We start from the raw sequence: 20,985 nt of genomic DNA, 5'->3' as shown, positions 1-20,985 counted from the left end.
ACGTGCCTGTAATCCCAGCTACTGGGGAGGCTGAGGCAGGAGAATCACTTGAACCTGGGAGGCGGAGGTTGCAGTGAGCCAACATCCGTGCCTCTGCACTCCAGCCTCGGCGACAAGAGTGAGACTCCATCTCAAAAAAAGAAAAAAAGAAATATATATATATTTATTTATATTTGTATATACATTTATATATTTATATAATTTTATATATTATATATTTATATTTATATTTATTTATATTTATATTATATATATTTCTTTTTTTCTTTTTTTGAGACAGAATCTTGCTCAGTTGCCCAGGCTGGAGTGCAGTGGCATGTTCTCGGCTCACTGCAAGCTCCGCTTCCCGGGTTCACGCCATTCTCCTGCCTCAGCCTCCCAAGTAGCTGGCATTACAGGCACACGCCACCATGCCTGGCTAATTTTTTGTATTTTTAGTAGAGACGGGGTTTCACCATGTTAGCCAGGATGGTCTCGATCTCCTGACCTTGTGATCCACCCGCCTCGGCCTCCCAAAGTGCTGGGATTACAGGCGTGAGCCACCACACCCGGCCAAAAAGAAAGAAATACTAAACATCATTGGACACACATGCGTTGGGCACTGACTGCACCCTGCCCTCTGCTGGATGGGCTCAGCTTCTCTCACAGACCTGATGTTCTAGTGGGGGAGACAGAAAAGTCAGTAAATAAGATTGTTTCCAAGGCGGTGCCAAGTGCCACGAGAAAGATAAGACAAGGCCATAGGAGGGAGGATGGTGGCGGCCCCCACTTCTGTCTGGTGCTCAGGGAAGACTGCTCTGCAGCAGTGACATCTGAAGTGAGACCTCAGTGTCAGGGAGTTGGGGTGGGGGTAGGGGTCCCAGGCTGAAGGAACAGCACATGAAAAGGCCCTGTGGTGGGAAAGTTATCGGGATTATGGGACAGCAAAGGGCCAGTGTGGCCGGAGTAGGTTGCCAGATGGCCAGGTAAACTGAAATTTCAGATAAGCAATGACTGATTTTTTTCAAGTGCAAGTGTCCTGAAGTTGCATGGAACATACTTGTACTAAAAAAAATGATTTGTTGTTTATCTGAAATTCCAGTGTAACTAAGCGCCCTGTATTTTATCTGGCAACCCTATACTAGGGTAGACGAGTCAGTTACAGGGCAAGCCCAGGCAGAGCCCCGAAGGCCTGGGGTGGTGGCTGGATTTTATTTTAAGGGTCTTGGTCAACAGGAGCTGAGCCCTCCAACCTCCAGCCTGGTCCAGTGCCCCTGGGTTGGTGTTCTTTGCTTAATGGGGAAGTGTCTGTCAGGGACCTCAGAACAAGCGTCACCCGCATTACAAAGAGCCCTCCAAAAGATGACTCATCCCAAGCAACAGGCGAGAGATCCGGGCTGCATCACACTCTCAGGAGGCAGAAACATCCCTTATATAAATGCAGGGGAAGGGGAGGGGACGGAGGTAGTAGAGAGGGATGTTAAAATTAGAATAACTGTGTTCTCTTAATTAGAAATGCAGTAGGTGCCTCATGAATCTGTAATGGGTTTTCTTGCAGACTTCTGGAAGCGGGAGGGCTGGGTCAGCCGTGGGAATATTCATGAGGGGTGGGGAAGGGTCCCTGGGGATGTTGGCCTGCCGGCTTCCAGGAGGGGCGTGGCAGGGGAGTCTGGATGCTGATCCCAGCTCTGCCACTGAGTGAATCTCGATGTGACTTCACGCCTGCCCTGTCTTCTCTGGGCCTCAGTTTCCCCATATGTGCAAACAGGGACCCTGCTCTAGGGAAGATGGATAGAGAGATGTCTAGGACAGCATACCCAGAGATGAGAGCCAGAGGCAAGGGAGGACTGAGCTGCCCCAGGCAGGGTCAGAGGCCCTTCATGTGGGCTCTGCTGGCTTCACAGTCTCATTAGTGCTTGTTGAATGAATGAGGGCTCTTTGGCAAACCCCTTCTCTTTTGTGGGCAGAGCTATTTTAAGACCTCTGCTAGGTTCTAGTTTGGCATTTCCATACCCCATCATATCAACATATTACAAGGCACCCACATGCCTCATTAAATAAAATTTATGTATAACTACACAAGAGTGGAGTTGAGATGCAATTGACTAGTTGACTAATGTTATGTTCTGTGGGCATTTAATTAAACATTTATTCATTTTGACGTGTCAGTGTGATTTTTTTCCCTCCCTTCCCCACTCCCAAACCCAAATATATTCACGGACCTCTGATCAGCTCCTGGCTGAGATACTGTGCCCAAGGGTCTAAGGGAAGAGGCCTTGCCTTTGTCCTCAGTCTTCCCATCTGTAAAAGGGTCAGGTTGCACGAGGTGACCCTGCAGGGCTCTTCCAGCTCCGGCTTTATAAATGGCACCTTCAGTGCCTGCTCCAGGGAGCACAGCCCCTGCTAGGGAGTGGGTGGGAAAGTGGGGATCGTGACAAGCCCAGTGCTATGGTTTGAATGTATGTATCCCTCCAAAATTTACATGTTGGACCTGAAAGCCTGAGGCAATGGTATTAAGAGGTTGGGTCTTTGGGAGGTGGTTGGGACATGCAGGCTCTGCCTTCATGAATGGGATTAATTTCTTTATCTAAAAGAGGCTTCAGAGAGCCGCCTGGCCCAGGCGCGGTGGCTCACGCCTGTAATCCCAGCACTTTTGGATGCGGGCTGATTGCTTGAGCCCAGGAGTTCGAGACCAGCCTGGGCTAAGTGGTGAAACTCCATCTCTTCAAAAAAATAGAAAACCTAGCTGGACATGGTGACGTGTGCCTGTAGTCCCAGCTGCTTGGGAAGCTGAGGTGGGAGGATGACTGGAGCCCAGGAGGTGGAGGTTGCAGTGAGTCGTGTGTATGCCACTGCATTCCAGCCTGAGCAACAGAGACCCTGTCTCAAACAAACAAACAAAACAACAACAACAACAACAAAACCCTAACAAAAAACAGAGAGCTGCCTGGCCCTTTCATCTCTTCTTCCGTGTGAGGACAGAGCAACAACACATCATCTTGGAAGCAGGGAGCAACCCTCACCAGACACCCAAACCTGCCAGCACCTTCATCTTAAGACCTGCCAGCCTCCAGGACTGTGAGTAATAAATTTCTGTTCTTTGTAAATTACCCAGTCTGAGATGCTTTGTAATAGCAGCAGGAATGGACTAAGACACCCAGGTTTCCTGCAGAGACAGAGGCCTCAACTGGGAGCCAGGCAGAGGAGGGGGTGTCCCACCTAGGGAAGCCAATCTGCCAGCCTGCCCATGTGGCGGGATGTGAGCGATCTCATAGAGGACTTCACTCCAGAGCCTGATGGCTGCCGAGGGAGCAACCCTCCCAGTGGGGGCTGGGGGAGCTGCAGAGGTGCCCCCTCCTTCAAAATTTGATGATGATAACACCTCTAACGCCACACGGGAGGACACCCTCTGGGGATTTCCATGTTACCCTACTCTGTTTCTCGGCTTCCAACATCCCTCAGCAGTAGGGATTATGATCCCCATTTTACAGACGGATAGGCAGGGACATGGGGTGGGGAGGTTAGGGCCAGCCTTTGGGGCCCCAGGACTCCTGAGACAAAGTCCTTGAGATTAGGAGATGTGCACAGAAGCACATGAAGTAACACGGCGTGACGGAGAGAAAGGTCCATCCTTTTTCATTTCTCTTGCAATCCTTCTTATTATAGAAAGTAGAGGGAGACTCTATCTAAAAAAAAAAAAGTAGAAGGTCTCAGGTAGGTGCTGATAAGTGTTTAACACCTCTCTAGTGCTTGCAAATCTCCCTTTTTTGAGGGGTGGGGGGATGGAGTCTCACTCTGTCACCCAGGCTGGAGTTTAGTGGCACAATCTCGGCTCACTGCAACCTCTGCCTCCCTAGTTCAAGCGATTCTCCTGCCTCAGCTTCCTGAGTAGCTGGGATTACAGGCGTGTGCCACCATGCCTGGCTAATTTTTGTATTTTTAGTAGAGACAGGGTTTCACCATGTTGACCAGGCTGATCTCGAACTCCTGACCTCAAGTGACCTGCCCACCTCGGCCTCCCAAAGTGCTGGGATTACAGGCGTAAGCCACTGCACCTGGGCCAAATCTCCCTTTTTAACAGGAAAAGAGCAGTCTTTGAACTCACGGTTTGAAATGACAACAGTTTCTAACCAAAGACATGTCTTCACCCCATTCATTTTATGAGTTACCTTCAGTTTATGGCAAGTGACATAAAGTTGCTTTATGGACTAAGTGTCTTTTGGTAAGGAAACTTTTAAAATGAAAAATATTGTTGTCAGCTGGGCACAGTGCTTTGGGCCTGCAGTCCTAGCTACTCAGGAGGCTGAGAGGAGAGGATAGATTTGAGCCCTTGAGTTCACATCCTGCCAGCCTGGATAACAGAGCAAGACTCTGTCTCTAAAAAAAAAAAAAAAAAAGTTGTAAGAGAAAGAAAATAAAGAAAAAAATCAAACGTGTATTTAGATTGTACCCTGGCTGTGGCAGAATTCATGACATCAGTATTTGAATAACCAAATTTGGGACTATATTGGAGAGGTCTGCCATTAACACACTGCGCGTCTTTAGACAAACCATTCTTTCTCTTTGGACCTCGGTTTCCTCATTTGTAATAAAGGATATCCCAGATAGCTTCAGCTAATGATCTAACTCTGTTGACTCCTTTTTCTGGTCCTCTTCCCTTTCTTTTTTTTTTTTTTTTTTTTTTTTTTGAGACAGAGTCTCGCTCTGTCGCCCAGGCTAGAGTGCAGTGGTGCAATCTTGGCTCACTGCAAGCTCCGCCTCCCGGGTTCATGCCATTCTCCCCACTCAGCCTTCCGAGTAGCTGGGACTACAGGCACCCGCCACCACGCTTAGCTAATTTTTTTGTATTTTTAGTAGAGATGGGGTTTCACTGTGTTAGTCAGGATGGTCACGATCTCCTGACCTCGTGATTCACCTGCCTCGGCCTCACAAAGTGCTGGGATTCCAGGCGTGAGCCACCACGCCCGGCCTCTTCCCTTTCTTTTAAGGGGGGTTCAGAGTCTCCCATAAAGGCCCAGCTGAGAGTAGGCTAAAGATATTTACATAGGGCTGAGTCCTGATACTGTGCTCTGTGTACATGTGCTCCAGGGGCTTGGCCCTGGGGACAAAAGACACTGAAGGATCTGTAATCCTCCAAGAGGGCAGTGTGCAGCTGTCCTAGGGTCTCCAGCAACTTGTAGCCAGTTACCTCGTCCTGCAATGTGATTCAATTCAGGAATGAGCATCCTTCCTGATTTGCAGAAAGGAGGTGAAGGACAAGTGACTGCGACAACCAGCCCACTCTATCTGGAGTGACCACAGGGTGCTCCTCAGCTACCCAGAGAGCAAGGGACCCAGCTCGTTAGCTCTGAGGATTTAAGGCTAGGAGCATCAGGATGGGAGAGGTAAGGAGGAGTGCAGAGAAGTTGGCAGGCAGGAACTTCAACCCCAGGGAGCTCTTGTGATGCTTTCACCTTACTTATCAACACATAGAAGCTGGACTTCATCAAAAGCCTATCTGAGACTCTCTGCCTCTTAATAGGTGAGTTGAAAACATTGACATTTATTGTAGTTGTTGATCTGTTGGGACTTATTCAGCCATCTTCCTTTGTATTTTCAGTTAATTATGATTTTGTTTTCTTTCACTCTTAAATTGATCAAACTGTCTTGGTTCTATTTTGTTTTTCCTCTAGTGGTTTGGAAATTATACCTTCTATCTATATTTTTCTAGTGGTTACTTTTACATTTTTAACATGCAGATGTACAGTTTTCTAATCATATTTATTGTTTAACATGTCTACATTCCAACTCGATCTTTGTGGATTCTGATAAATCTCAGAGCCAGGGATCAGGCAGGAGTGACAATACATGCACCTGCCATGTGCCAGTTACTTTCCATGTGTTTCCACAGGTGATCTTATTTCATCCTCAGAGCCACCTGGCAAGGGGGGGTTAAACTGCCTGTCCACAGATGAGGATTGGGAAGCTCAAATGGATGAGGAGAGCTGCCCAGGGCTCATCAGCACAGTGGTGGCCATGCAGTTTTCCTAGTTCTGACTCTTTCCAGCAGCCCATCCCTCCTGTGCCCGACACTTCCTCAATGAAGAGGCAGATAAGCAGAAAGAGTGGAGACAAGAAAGGAAGTTGGAGATGAGAGCATGCGGGGGAAGGGGAGAGTCCTCCATTGCCATCTGGCCTCTGTTTCCTGCCAGTGTGTGTTCTGCGTGCTTGGGAGCCTCGGGGAGCCCTGCACGGGCTTCCTTCCTGCCTCAGGCTTGTGGGAAGAACACCTTTACTGATTCAGTTCCGAATGAGGAAGGCAGGGACCACCCCAGCCTGGTAATATTACAGGCTTCTCAATCATGCATTCCCCATTCGTCAGATGTTTCCTGGGCTCTTCTTGGTGACAGGGTATGGGAGCTGAGGGTGCAGGGATTAATCAGACAGGGTCCCTGCTCTCAGAATCCAGGTTGAAATGAGAGGGAGATAAGCATAGAGAGTATCACACCCCACGATCGTCGTTCCCTTTCAGTTTATCATTATGGTTACATTTTGAAAAGCTGGTATGTGGGGCCGGGCGCGGTGGCTCACGCCTGTAATCCCAGCATTTTGGGAGGCCGAGGCAGGCGGATCACGAGGTCAAGAGATGGAGACAATCCTGGCCAACACGGTGAAACCCCATCTCTACTAAAAATAGAAAAATTAGCTGGGCATGGTGGCACGCGCCTGTAGTCCCAGCTACTTGCGAGGCTGAGGCAGGAGAATCGCTTGAACCCAGGAGGCGGAGGTTGCAGTGAGCCAAGATCATGCCACTGCACTCCAGCCGGGGTGACAGAGCGAGACTCCGTCTCAAAAAAAAAAAAAAAAGAAAAAAGAAAAAGAAAAGGTGATACCTGTGCATGGAAAACAGTACCTGAACTTTATGAAAGGTTATAGACTCAGTCTCCTTCCTACCTCAGGCTACCATTATTTTGTGAAAACGTGAAATATATATGAGGAGGTATAAAAAGCCCAGAGGCACCCATTTAACATTACCTAGGGTGTATCTTGGAAATAGTCTGAACATATTCAGGCTCATGATGCTGCACATTGCTTCAGACTTCTGCACTCCTGGGGACATCCCACAGCCACTGTCCTGTGCCGGGCTTTTGTCACTTTATCTGAAGGGTCGCCCTCATCAGTCCACAGAGAGCCTCCCCAACCTCACGTGGGGCTGCCGAGGCTCTGCAGAAGGGGCTTTCCTGGATTCTGCTGAGCATGTGAGTGAGCATATCTGTGGAATACGTTCTTAAAATTGGAACTGTCGGGTCAAAGGGTGTGTGCATTTGAAATCCACCTCAAGATTCTCCAGTTGCTCTGTGAGGAGGTTGTGCCATTTATCACCCAGCAATGTCTGAGAGTTAGTTTTTATTTTCCCACATCCCCATCAAACTGGTGAAGACCATCTTTTAAAAACAGCAGGGTGGGCCAGGTGCGGTGGCTTACATCTGCAATCCTAGCACTTTGGAAGGTGGGCAGATCACCTGAGGCTGGATGTTTGAGACCAGCTTGACCAACATGGAGAAACCTCGTCTCTACTAAAAATACAAAATTAGCCAGGTGTGGTGGCACATGCCTGTAATCCCAGCTACTCAGGAGGCTGAGGCAGGAGAATCGCTTGAACCCAGGAGGCGGAGCTTGCAGTGAGCCAAGATCACACCATTGCACTCCAGCCTGGGCAACAAGAGTGAAACTCCGTCTCAAAAACAAAAACAAACAAACAAACAAACAAACAAAAAAACCAAAAAAGCCCTGCAGGGTGAAGAGCTTTGAGAGCTAAAAGGAGCCTCCCAACCCCAGTGGCTGGAGGACTTGGGGCTGCTGGAGGGAGGTGCCAGTTGAACTGGGTCTTGTAGGATGATTAGGAGTTTGCCAATCTGGGGAGTGTGGGGAAGGGGTATCTGAAAGAGGGAACAGCATGTATAAAAATGCAAAGGTGTGGGGGCACATGATGTGAGCAAGGCAAAAAAATTCAGGAAGCGTGGAGGACAGAACGTGGATGCCCCGTGATGAAGGGCACTGCTGGCTGGGCCATGCCCCTTTCTTGCGGCTGTCCTCTATGATGGGCATGAGAGCAGCCGGCCCATTACAGTGGAATAATCCATAAGCCATTGGAAGGGGTGCAGGGCCAGGGAAGCCACACACTCAGGGCTTAGAACTCAAGGTCACAACCGCGTCCTGCCCCTAATGCACTGAGTGATCTTGGGCAAATGATTCCCCTCACAGGCTCCACTTCCTCATTTGCAGAGTGCGCCCTACCATCCCGCACCCCTGTTTGTTGGGAGGGGCCCCTGTACTGGGTTAGGGGGAGATGGCTGGCACCTACCAGGAATTTGGCAGGCAGTCGTTGTTCCGGGATGAGAGGCCCCCGGCTCTCACCTTTGGGGCTTTTCCCTTCAGCCCATGCCCCTCACAGCATCGTGGCTCTGTGTTCTACAGCGAGACTCGATTTACCGAGCACACAGCATCTGTCTTAGCCAGGCAGCCTGCTACTTGCCACTGGTGGGTGTCAGGCAAAGCAGCAAACCTAAGAGACCACGTTTGCTCATTTCTGTGTGAATCCCTCACCCTGTGACTGTGTGCAGCTCTCCAGAAAGATGCCTTGAAGACAAAGTAGGACAGAGCATGCAGCTCTCCACATCTCTCGCCTGAGCCGCTATATTCCTTGTAAGTGAAATGACCCCAGTCCTTGCCTTTTCCCACACATAAGATAACGTCTGATGGGGTTGGTGCTTATGCCTCTGTGATCCCTAAATGCACTCCCACACTCAAACCTAGGTGTGATTCTGCTGTAACTTCTGAACAAGTTTAATGTGGATTTGCGCACATTAACCCTCCACCTTCTGTATATGAGCCATGGGCTGAAATGCCGTGCGGGAACGGCCTGACGGCGGAGCCTCTCTAAAGGGCTGTTCCTGGCTACAGGCCTCGGTCTACAGTCCTCACTAAGGCTCCCACAGAAAACTGACTTTAATTCTTTGAAAGCCTGATTTTTTCTTTCTTTAGTTGACAATCATGGTGACCACAAAGGGACTCAGACTAGACTGCCCATGGTCATCTGGAACGCTGTGGGCATGCAGCACCCTGGTACCAGCACAGGCCCTGTGAGCGTCTCTGCTTCCGCCATGGTTGCAGACAACTGGATGAGTCTCTCCTGAGTCTCAGACCTTCCATTTAGCTGATGGTCCTGACGTTTTTTTCCAACTTGTTGTCCTTGCTTATTGATGTGGGGTAAGTTCTTCCTCGAGACTTTTCATTTCTCCAGAAAGGGAATTCTCCTAGTTAAAACATATTAGGAAGAAACAGATAGGTGAGGCTGTCTCACTGGCTGGGTTGTGCCAGGGCTTCCCTTTCAGTTTGCCTCTGTAAACAAGGTTTCAGCATGACAGACACTATTATAAATCTCTGAGGGTTTGACCTGCGTCAGCTCTGAAGACAAGGGACACCCGCTCCTTCAGACAGATTCTGACTTGGCATGTCCAGGTGACCAGAGATCTCTGGAAGTGTTGGAGGTACAATCCTTATGATGTGCATCAGTCCCACAGGAAATTCTTTGTCACAAGTAATTAACAAGTGGCTCATCTGGAGATGCACACGGGAGGGTTAGTCACCCAGTACGCTGAGCCTCCACGATTGCTTTAGGCAACCCGAGGGAGAAACTGAGACACGTAAGACAGCCATTGGCTGTGCTCAGAACAGCACATTTTCTTTTCTTTTCTTTTTCTTTTTCTTTTTTTCTTTCTTTTTTTTTTTTGAGACAGAGTCTCGCTCTGTTGCCCATGCTGGTGTGAGTGGTTCATGTAATTCTCCTGCCTCAGCCTCCTGAGTAGCTGGGATTACAGGCGCCCACCACCATGTCCCGCTAATTTTTTTTTTTTTTTTGTATTTTTAGTAGAGACGGGGTTTCACCGTGTTGGCCAGGCTGGTCTTGAACTCCTAACTTCAAGCGATCCGCCCACCTCAGCCTCCCAAAGTGCTGGGATTACAGGCATGAGCCACCATGCTCAGCCAGGACAGCACATTTTCTTTTGAGAAGGGTCTCACACTATATCCCAGGCTGGAGTGCAGAGGCACAGTCTCAGCTTACTGTGGCCTCCACCTCCTGGGCTCAAGCAATCCTCTCTCCTCAGCCTCCTGAGTAGCTGGGACTATAGGTGCACACTGTCATGCTCAGCTATTATTTATTTATTTATTTATTTTTGTAGAGACGGTGTCTCACTATATTACCCAGGCTGGTCCTGAACTCCTGGGCTCAAGTGATATTCCTACCTCAGCCTCCCAAAGTGCTGGGATTACAGCGGTGAGCCACTGTGCCCAGCCAAAGCTGCTCATCTCCCCACTACGTTTCTCAATAGCAGTCCTGCTTTGCTGAGCTCTCACAATGGAAAATAAATCATCCAAAACTGAAACAACAGGGTCATTGAACAACCAACCTCCAGTCAGCACTCCAGCAGGCTTTGTGTATAACACACATGGAGCTTACACTGGCAAGTGTCTCCTTGGATGGGAGGACTTTACCAAAGGAGATTTCACATTAAAATGGCCAAAAATGGGATTTTCCAGTGTGTCCCTGGAAACTCCCGCAAAATATATCTCTCATCCTGTGCAGATATTAAATGATTTAAATTGTTTGGTAAATTGTATGGGAGGCATTGTCAAATGATAAATGATACTAGATCTTTTTTCAGTTACATTTATGGGTATGTTATTGATATAAATGTTCCAAAAATAATATAAATTCATAAAAATCTAATGTTATCAGTAATAATTTTGATTGTTATATTAAATTGTTTGTAAGTTATATGTGTGTGGATATGTTGTTAATATAAGTGTTCCAAAGATTATATAAAATTTATAAACATCTAATGGCCCTGATGTGACACCATCAGTCATAATTCTGGTTGTTATCATAAAATGCTGTGTGAAATAGAAATAACTAAATTTCCCTGTCAATTAAAAACTTTCATCAGATTTTAACCAAGGCTATTCTAAGTTTTATTATCCACAGTTATTGTTATAAATTATTCTGTAAAAACATTTGCAGGGTGAGTGCAGTGTCTCACGCCTATAATCCCAACACTTTGGGAGGCTGAGGTGGGAGGATTGCTTGAGTTCAGGAATTCAAGACCAGCCTGGACAACATAGTGAGACCTGGTGTCTAAAAAAAATTAAAAAATTATCCAGGTGTGATGATGTGAGCCTGTAGTCTTAGCTACTCAGGGGGCTCAGGTGGGAGGATCGCTTGAGCCCTGGAGGTTGAGCCTGCAGTGAGCCGTGATGATGATGCCACTGTACTCCAGCCTGGGTGGCAGAGTGAGATCCTGTCTCAAAAACAAAAACAAAAACACTTGCAATCAGCTCTAGTCCAAAATTGTTTTTCATAAAAAGACTATACTAAATATGGGTACCAAAAGGGGAAAAATATTACAATCGATTAAAAAAAAACTATTCAAATGTATGTTCCAGTTTTGTTAAATGGTTATCGTGGGTTTTACAATCTGTAACTCACTTTAATGCTATTAAATATGTATTGCTACCTATAATCTGTAATATCCTTGTAATAGTCCTCCTGCTGAGGTATTGTGTTAGGTACAGGAAAAGGCAATGTCACAAAGAACAACAACAACAAAAAAACCCCAGATCATGCTAGTTAAAAGTAGATGCAATCTGAAGTGTGTTTTTTGCAAAATAGCCAAGTATGCATGCTGAGCCCGATACAACTACCACTGAAGCTTCCCTGCCTTCCTACGCAAGAGTCTTCCTGGCTACATAAGACAATCAGTGTTTGTCTTGTAAATGCAACTAATAGTTGATTATGAGCAAAAGAGGGAACTTGTGAGACAAAGTAACAAACCTAAGAAGCCATGTTTGCTCATTTTGGCTTGTCAGCATAAAGTGTAGCTCTCCAGAAAGATGTTTTGAAGGCAAAGCAGGCTAGATCACAAGGCTCCCACATCTCTGACCGGAGTCACTATTTTTTAGAAGTGAAATAACCCCAGTCCTTGCCTTTTCCCACACATTAAGATAATGTCTGCTGGGTTTAGTGCTTCTGCTAAGCACATGCACTTCCACACCCAAACCTAGGTGTGACTCTGCTGTAATGTAACTTCTGAACAAGTTTAATGTGGATTTGCACACATTAATCCTCCACCACCTGTATATAAGCCATGGGCTGAAATGCTGTGCAGGAACGGCCTGATAGAGCCTCTCTAAAGGGCTGCTCCTGGCTACAGGCCTCAGTCTATAGTCCTCAGTCAAGCTTCTACATAAAACTGACTTTCGGCCGGGCGCGGTGGCTCACGCCTGTAATCCTAGCACTTTGGGAGGCCTAGGCCGGCTGATCACCGGAGGTCAGGAGTTCCAGACCAGCCTGACCAACATGGAGAAACTCCGTCTCTGCTAAAAATGCAAAATTAGCCAGGTGTGGTGGCGTATGCCTGTAGTCCCAGCTACTCAGGAGGCTGAGGCAGGAGAATCGCTTGAACCCGGGAGGCAGAGGTTGCATTGAGCCGAGATCACGACATTGCACTCCAGCCTGGGCAAGAAGAGTGAGACTTCGTCTCAAAAAAAAAAAATTGACTTTGATTTTCTAAAAGCTTGATCTTTTCTTCAGTCAATATAGGGTAAGGGTTCCATGGCCCAGTGCCCTCCAGGGGTTGGTAAACATGACCACATAAGCACCCAACTTGATCAATAGCAGAGGGCATCTGATGGTGGCCAGGTGGGACAGCCACAGCAGGGAGGTGGGTTCCTGCTGCCGCCTCCAAGGAGCTAAGCAGGCTGGGTATCCTGAGGGTGCACCCCTTCCCCCCTCCCTCCATCTTCCTGGCTTCAAGCCAGGCTAGGGGGTGGGGGACAGCTGCAGGAGGTGACAGTGTCACCTACGGAGCCCCTGTCGTGTGCCTGGCTAGACTCTCGACTTGCTTTGGCCAACAGAGCAGGGCAGAAGAGTCACTGAGCTGGGTCTGTGCCTCAGAAAGCCTCCAGCCCCCACTCTCGCAATGGCAAGGAAGGGTGAACTGCGTGAGTCCTAGGACGGTTCCCGAGCCCCCAGCATCAGGGGTGGCAGGCCTCTGGGAACTAGGGGTGGGAAAACTGATGCTCCTGTGAGACCGGTGAAGGGAAGGACTCAGGGAAGGTGGCCACCATTCACCTGGAGACAACTGCAGCCAGACAGGGCCTGTCCCAGAGAACCCCAAGGCTAGATTCTTTGTATGAAATCTCCTGCCCTTAAAATGGTGGCAGCGGATACTCATTATGTTAAACGCTGCCTGTCTTGGGCTGGGATGCCGGCTGCACCATTTGCAACCTTTGTCCTGGGGTCAAGTTCAGTTATGGGACTGAGAGCCATGTCTCTACCATGACTGTGGCACTGATTCACACATTTATTCCTTCAACAAGGACCCAGTGATCTGTGGCTTCTCTGGGCTAGGCCCTTGGCTGGAGGTTACAGCCTAGGTGAGAGGCTGGCGAGGCTTCCCTGGACAGGTGCATCTAGGCTCTGACCCAGTACAGGGCTCCTGTGGCGGGGGGCTTCATGCTCAGTGTGGGGAAGCCAATTACCTACCCTCACTGCACCCCATCGCCCTACTCCAGGTTGAGCCCTCACGGGAACACTAAAAGAATGACCAGTATTCTTACTTTCAGCCACTCTAGTTGGTATGCGGTGGTATCTCAGTGTGGTTTTTTCCTAACAGTTCTACTGAGATATAGTAAATATGTCAAATAACTCACCATTTTAAAGTGTGCCACTCTATGACCTTTAGAGTATTCGTAGATGTGTACAACCATGACCACAGTCAATTTCAGACCATTTTCATTACCCCATAAGGAAATCTTCACCCTCCACTCCTGCCCCTAAGTTGTGGGCAAACACTAATCTACTTTCTGCCTCTATATATTGGCCTGTTCTGGACATTTCACTGGAAAGGAATCATACAATGTGTGGTCCTTTGTGACTGGCTTCTTGTACTCAGCATGATGTTTCCAAGAGTCATAATGTTTTCTATTCTCTTGGGCATATACCTAGGAGTGGAATTGCTGGGTCGTGTGGTTTAAATGTTTACATGTTTGAGGAACTGCCAGGCAATTTTCCAAAGCAGCTGCACCGTTTTACATTCCCAACAGTGGTGTATGAGGACTCCAATCTTTCTCCCTCCTCAGCAACACCTGTTAGTGCTAGTAGTTTTTGTTTGGTTTTGTTTTGTTTTGTTATTTGAGACAGAGTCTTGCTCTGTCGCCCAGGCTAGAGTGCAGTGGTGCAATTTTGGCTCACTGCAACCTCCAACTCCGGGGTTCGAGCAATTCTCCTGCCTCAGCCTCCTGAGTAGCTGAGATTACAGGCACCCGCTACCACGCCCAGCTAATTTTTTTGTATTTTTAGTAGAGACGGGGTTTCACCATGTTGGTCAGGCTGGTCTTGAACCCCTGACCTCGTGATCCACCCGCCTCGGCCTCCAAAAGTGGTGGGATTATAGGCATGAGCCACCGCGCCCGGCCTTGTGCTAGTAGTTTTTAGTCCAGCCAACCTAGTGGGTTGCACCTGGTGGGTATAAGCGGTTAACTGGTGTGTCAAACTTTTGATTTGCATTTTTTTCTGATGGCTAATAATGTTGAGTATCTTTCCTTGTGCTTATGATATCCTCTTTGTTGTGATGTCTATTCAGATCCTTTCCCATTTTTAAGTTGAGTTATTTGCCTTTTTTATTATTGAGTTGTAAAATTTATTTATGTATGCTAGATACATGTCTTTGATCAGACATGTGAACAGCAAACATTTTCTCTTCTGTGGGTTTTTTCTCTTCTGTCACTTTCTTTACTGAAGTCCTTCAAAGCGTAGAAGCTTTCAACGTTGCTGTTTCCCAGTTTATCTCCTTTTCCTTTGTTGCTTTGCTGTTGGTGTCATCTCTAAATCCCTGGGGTTTTAATTTGCATTTCCCTAATGACTGATGATATTGAGCTTCTTTTAATTTGCTTATTTGGCATTTATATATCTTTGGTGAAATGTCTGTTTAAAACGTATGCCCATTTTTAATTGGGTGTTTTTTCTTGTTTTTATTGAGTTGTAAAAGTTCTTTATATATTCTACACACAAGTCCTCTGCTGGATATCGAGTTTGCAAATATTTCCTCCCAGACTGTGACTTACCTTTTCATTTCTTAACAGTTTCTTTTGAAGACCAAGCTTTTTTTTTTTTATTGCAGTGAAGTCCAATTTGCTGATTTTTTCTTCACTTAGAGTTCATGCTTTTGGCGTCACATTTAAGAAATATTTGCCAAATTCAAGGCCATTAAGAGCTTTTCTAGAAGTTGTACCTATTTAGCTCTTACATGGGTTCTGTGATCTAGTCCCAGTTAGTTTTGTAGATACTCTGAAATGGAGGCAGAGGTTCATTCTTTTGCATATTATCCCAGCAGCTTTCTCAGGCAACACTTGTTGAAAGACTATCCTTTCACTCATTGAGTGGCTTTGGCATCTTTGTCAAAAATTGATTGCCCACATATGTGTGGGTCTACTTTGAGACTCTCTTCTAGTTTGTCAATTTATGTGTCTCTCTTGACACTGGTACCCATTGTTTTGATTACTCTTGCTTTATAATAAGTGTTGAAATCTAATAGAGTAAGTCCTTCCGCTTTGCTTTGCTTTTTGGTGATGTGAGTGGGATAGTTTGTATTGGATGACACTCCCTGTGTGCTGTATGTCAGGGCCCTGCCCATTGAATGTCAGAGCATTGTCAGTCATTCTCATGACCAAAAACATCCCCCACCAGATTTTCAAATGTTCTGACCAGGGACAATACCCTCTTAAGAGAATTTCTTCTCTAAAGGAACAAGAATCAGAATGACATCAGCGGCACTAGGTAATGGAGGAAAATGGAGCAAACCTTTCCATGGTCTGAGGAAACTGATTTGTAACCCGGAATTCTATACCCAGCCAAACTACCAATCAAATCTGAGGGCAAAGTAAATACTTTCAGACACACAAGGACTCAGAGACCTACCCATAGGCTGTGTCTGGCAGAATTGCCTGAGGATATACTCTGCAAAGTAGAAAATGAACCCAAGAAAGACAATACACAGGATCCAAGAAAGAGTGGACTCAATCCAGAAGTGTAATGCCAAGAAATCCCTGATAATAGCTGTGTAGCAGGCCCAGGAAGTAGCCAGCCCAAATTATAATAGTGAGTCAGAGAGTGCTCAGGGGAAGGTTTTTAAGGAAAAAAATGAATTTCTTATAAAAAGGACAATATTAAAAAGATTGATGATCTTACCAAGAAGCTGGATGTGAATAATAATAGGAAAATTCACAAATGATTTTACATAGTATACTTCCCCTTTCTCTGTTTCCTCCTCCATATTTTTGTAACCTTTATTTTTTTGGAGTGCACACTCACATCTTCCTTTCTGCAATTGAATTTAAATTACTTGGCCTCGAATTTATCACATTGGAAATGCCGGTTATCAGTTTTTTCAGGTGGCAGAACGTATCTGTATACAAAGCCGGGAGACCTTAACTAGAGTTACAGACTAGCATGCACATCCTATAAATCCTAACGAGGTCAAAGGACTGGTGTCAAGATGGGAGAGGAAGGGAAGGGAAGGGAAGGAGAATGTCCTGGGTCACCTCCCAGGGAAACATTCTGAGAGGGAGGTTTGCACACAGGAGGTTTCTTGGGGAGAGCTCAGGGGCCAGCACCAGCGAGGGAGAGAAGAGGCAGGATTGGCAGAGGGAGAGGCTGGGCCACAGTGTGAATCCTACAGAGGCTTGGCTAATCCCACGGGAGCTCTGGAGCTAGGATGACCCTGCAGAGTTGCCCAAATTGAGGCAAGGGGGCCAGGCTGTTGTCCTCCTGCATGGACCAGTCACTAGTTGGGGGCTGCCCTGGGAAGGGGAATGTAACCTTGAAGATTCCATCAGCACAGGGCAATTTCCTGAGACGGTCTTTGCTGAGCTGGTGCGAGGCGAGGGCCTCACCTTGAAGGGGGAATCTGGGCAGCAACCACAGCATCCATGACACGGTGCTTCAAGGACTCTAGAGGCTCTGATTCTTTTATTGCACATCGTGGGAATTTAGATGAGAGACTGCAGCTGAACTGGACGGCCTTTAACTGCTCTGACGTCTTGGTGCTGCCAGCCGAGTGAAAGCAATCCACCCTGTCCCTCTGTGTCTCATCTGCCCTCTGCTCATCAGTGTTCCTATGTCCGGGGCCATGTGGTGAGACTGGGAGAGACCCCTGGGTGCCCAAGAGCCCCGAGTCCAGTCCAGAAGCAGGTGGGAAGCCAATTAACTCACTGCATGCGGGGGTCAGAGCAGGGAGGCTGGAGGACCAGGCCACAGGGCTTTTATGTGGGGCCCTGTGGGATGGCCCTGGCCTGTGCCTGCTCATCCCCCTTGCTCATTCTCTGTCTCCATGTGAGAACTCTTAAAGAGCATGGGCCCAGAGCCTGGCCACAGTCGATGCTCGGCCACATTTACTAAAGGAGTGGCTGGCTGAGGCTCTTTGAGGAAGAGGCCTCCCTTCTCTGGTGGGGACAGGCATTGTTCCTCCCTCGTTTGGGAGCCAGGAAGGAGGGTGGACTTGGCCCCATTGCTGGTGGCAGACTCCCCTATAACCTCCAGCTCCGGGGAGCTGGCTGTCGCTGGAACACCCCCGAGTCCCAGGAATGGAAAGCAAGGCAGATGAGTGAGGCAGAGGGAGAGGACAGGCCCGAGGGGCTCCCTGCTCCCACTCCTACTGCCTAAAGAGGAGTCCAGGGATCCTGGCCGGAAGGAGCAGGGAGTGGGCCAGGAAGGCCACTGTTGTTGTTCACCACCTATGCCCTGAGGATCTCTCTGCTTGCCTCAGAGCCTGGGGAATGGCAATTCCAGGAGGACAGGGCCCTGCCTAGGCCTCGGGTGCAGTGCTCCTGCCTGGAGGCTCGAACAGCACCTTGTCGGCCTGTTGTCATCTTCTGCCCTGGCCAAGCCTGGAAGCTCCTGAAAGGCAGGGCTGAGGCCTCCTCCCCTTATGGTGTCTGGTGTCATCCGGGCCTGGTACAGATTGGGTGTTCTGTCTGCTGAGTGGCAAGGTGACCTGCCTCAGGGAGCAAGGAGGTAGTGCAGAGATGGAGATGTGGGGTCATCTTCAATCGGGAACAGCTGGAAGGGGTGTCTGGGGGCTCCACATGGGCATTGAGCATAGAAAGGGAGCCTGGCTGCTCCTTCCCCAACCCCTGCAGCTCTGTCCATCAGCCATGATCCTCACTGACAGGCACCAGGGTTTAGAGTTACCTTCCCTCCAGCCCCAAACACTGGCAGAGACCCGTGCGCAACTGCAGGGTCAGGCCTCCCATAAGGTCATGAGAAGCCTGGGCTACACGGATCCCTTTTTGGGAAGCTCCTCAGGTATTATCAAATGAGGAGATATTAGATTAGAGTGGCAAAGATGTTGGTATATTTTCAATTTATAAACCAAAATGATCAATGATTTGTACATGTACAAATAGGATGGTATCTGATGGTGTTCTTCAAAAGGTGATGATAAGATTTATAAAGATAACATTAATCTTGAGAACAGGACGTGTCTTAGAAATGAGGGACAATTTTAAAGTTGTGTTGAGCTTTCATTTAGGGTGGTGTGTGTATGATCTCATCCTCGTATAACAGTCCTTGGGGAACTTGAGGCTTCCACTACATGGCCCCACTACCATTCTGGGCCCTGCCCGTGGGACAGCCAAGGTGGGACACCGAAGGAGGCCTGAGGACCCTGGAGGGTCTGAGGTCTCTCTATGCAGTCTCCTCCTCTCCTGGGGATGGAGGGATAGCAACAAACATAAATATGGAACACCAAGTGTCAGTGAAGCTGGTGTAACAAAGGCAATGCCACCCGCATGTAAATAACAGCTTTAAAAATATATGAGATGTAGCTAAAGCTTTACCCAGAGGTAAATTTATAGCCTTAAATGCATTTGCTAGAAAATGGAACTGTAGAAATAAGCCAGCTCAAGTCAAGGAGATAGAAAAGTGAGTTTAGCCCCAAAGAAACTTGGGGTATGAAAATTACAAAGATTAAGAAAATAATCAACAAATGGAAAATATTTTGGCTGAGGAAAGGTAGGCTCCAAGGGGTAAAACAAATTGCTGCAGATCTCAACGCCGAGCAGAGGCGGGGCTTCCCTCCACAGATTATCAGTTCCCCACCGCAAGTGTGAGTGGTGGGTTGGGCCCCTGAGCCTTGGCAGCTCAGCAAATAGAACCATGGAGGCTTCAGGGCCACCTTCTGGTTGCAACTGGGAAGGGACGGCCGGGGAAACGTCTTGCTTCTACAAGTACAAAACATTCCCAGTGTTTTATTTTATTATTTTATTGGTATTTTTGTAGAGCCAGGGTCTCGCTCTTTTGCCCAGGCTGGTTTCAAACTCCTGGGCTCAAGCGATCCTCCTGCCTCGGCCTCCCAAAGTGCTGGGATTAGAGGCGTGAGCCTCCGCACCCTGCCCATACCCAGTGTTTTGGTAGACTCAGATCAATAAGAAATGCCAATGTTCTCGTGAGTGTGTTGATTTTTTATTTACACTTTTCCTAAAATCGTCCGCTGATGGATTCGAGATGTATTTCACGGAATCGCTTCCGATTTAAGGCGCCCGAGGCGGCCGGAGAAGGATGGAGCTGTCCCCCGACGCCTGGTGCGGGGGCGCGGGACCCAGGGGCGGTCCCAGCAGGCGGCGCCCTCCCCGCCCTCTTCCCGCGCCGCGGCCGGCACTTTGCAAAACTCCTCGCCTGCCCGCTGCGGCCGCAGCTCCGCGCCCTGCCGCCCCGGCGCGTCCGCGGGGCAGCGGGCGGCGGAGCGCGGCGGCGCGGGGAGCAGGAGGCGCGGGGGCCCCGGGGGCGGCGCCGGCGGAGGCGGGAGCCGAGGCGGGGCCGCGGCAGCCCCGCGCCGCGCCGAGCCGCCGTCCCCGCCGCGCAGCCATGGCCGCGCCGCCGCCGCCCCGCCGCCCGCTCGCCTGAGGCGCGGCCGGCCTCCGGGCGGGGGGCCATGGCCAGCGCCGCCGAGCCCCCCGGCCAGGCGGCCGAGTACCTGCAGGAGCTGACCCGGATCGTCGCCGCGCAGCAGGAGCTGCTGGCGCGCCGGCGACGGCGCATCGAGGAGCTGGAGCGCCAAGTGGCGCGGCTGAGCCGGGAGAACGCCGGCCTGCTGGAGCGACACCGGCGACACCTGGCCGCGTGCGCCCGCCGCCCCGACCCGGGCCCCGGCCCCGGCCCGCAGCCGCTCGGCGCCATCCCGGAGCTCGGCGGCCGCCGCGACAAGTAAGCGGGGCCCGGGGCGGCGGGCGTGTCGGGGACGTGGGAACTTCTTGGGGTCCGCGGCTTCCCTCGGGGCTTGGCGGGGAGGTGGGCGGGTGCGGGAGGGCGCGTGGCCGGCCCGGGAGCGCCCACACCCGCCGCCAGACCCCCAGGGGCTCCCTGGGATTCTCTGGCGGGGTCGCCGCCCAGATCCGGAGCTCGATCTCGGGTGGGGACTGGGTTCCCTGGAAAAGGGCTCCAGGGAGCTGCTCAGCGCTCCCGCCGGCCTGGCTCTGCGCTGCGGCGCGGACTCAGGGTTGGCGACCCCCGGGGCTCGGACGAGCCGGGCGGAGGTCTGTCCGGGGAGCGGACCTAGGTCTCGGAGCAGCAGGGCGAGAACTTCCGACCCAGAGATCCCGAGACCGGTAGGGAGGGGTCGCGGGCCGCGCGGATCCCGCCCTGGAGCGGGCCTGGGTCGCTTGCGGGTTGCGGTGTCCCTGGAATGGACTCTGCGCTGTGTCCAGTCCGGGACGCGCAGAGCCCTCTTCTGTGGACGCCTCTGTCTCTTACTTCAAGGCTGGGGTTAATTCCCGACTGCCTCGCCCTGGGATTACCCGGGGCTATTTCGGACCCAGGATTAAGTGAGGGATGGGGAGAGGTACAGGGCGGGGCTGTCCAGCAGCCCTGGACCCCAGCGTCCCTACCGGCTCGCAGCCCGCCAGCCGGGT

The 20,985-nt window shown here is 49.7% G+C and overlaps 1 protein-coding gene across 6 annotated transcripts in view, besides 1 other annotated feature; it reads left to right on the top strand.

Annotated features, from left to right (window-relative positions):
• Window positions 1,116-1,205: an enhancer, noted in NCBI's record as "active region_19485". NCBI's record gives its function as "activates an Ori minimal core promoter by ATAC-STARR-seq in GM12878 lymphoblastoid cells {active_cell/tissue: GM12878}" and the evidence as "EXISTENCE:reporter gene assay evidence [ECO:0000049][PMID:35858748]".
• IQSEC1 (IQ motif and Sec7 domain ArfGEF 1) overlaps window positions 19,735-20,985 on the top strand; it is a 386,215-nt gene continuing 384,964 nt past the window's right edge. For all 6 annotated transcript variants that reach the window (XM_047449348.1, XM_047449340.1, XM_047449347.1 and 3 more), the window contains exon 1: window positions 19,735-20,281. In XM_047449348.1, the coding sequence (XP_047305304.1) occupies window positions 20,010-20,281 (272 nt within the window). In that variant the 5' untranslated portion in view covers window positions 19,735-20,009. The remainder of the gene's footprint in view (window positions 20,282-20,985) is intronic.

This window comes from Homo sapiens, chromosome 3 (genome assembly GCF_000001405.40).
Source record: "Homo sapiens chromosome 3, GRCh38.p14 Primary Assembly".
NCBI lineage: Eukaryota > Metazoa > Chordata > Mammalia > Primates > Hominidae > Homo > Homo sapiens.
Note: the sequence above shows the minus strand (reverse complement) of the source record. Positions and strands in the feature narration are given on the sequence as shown.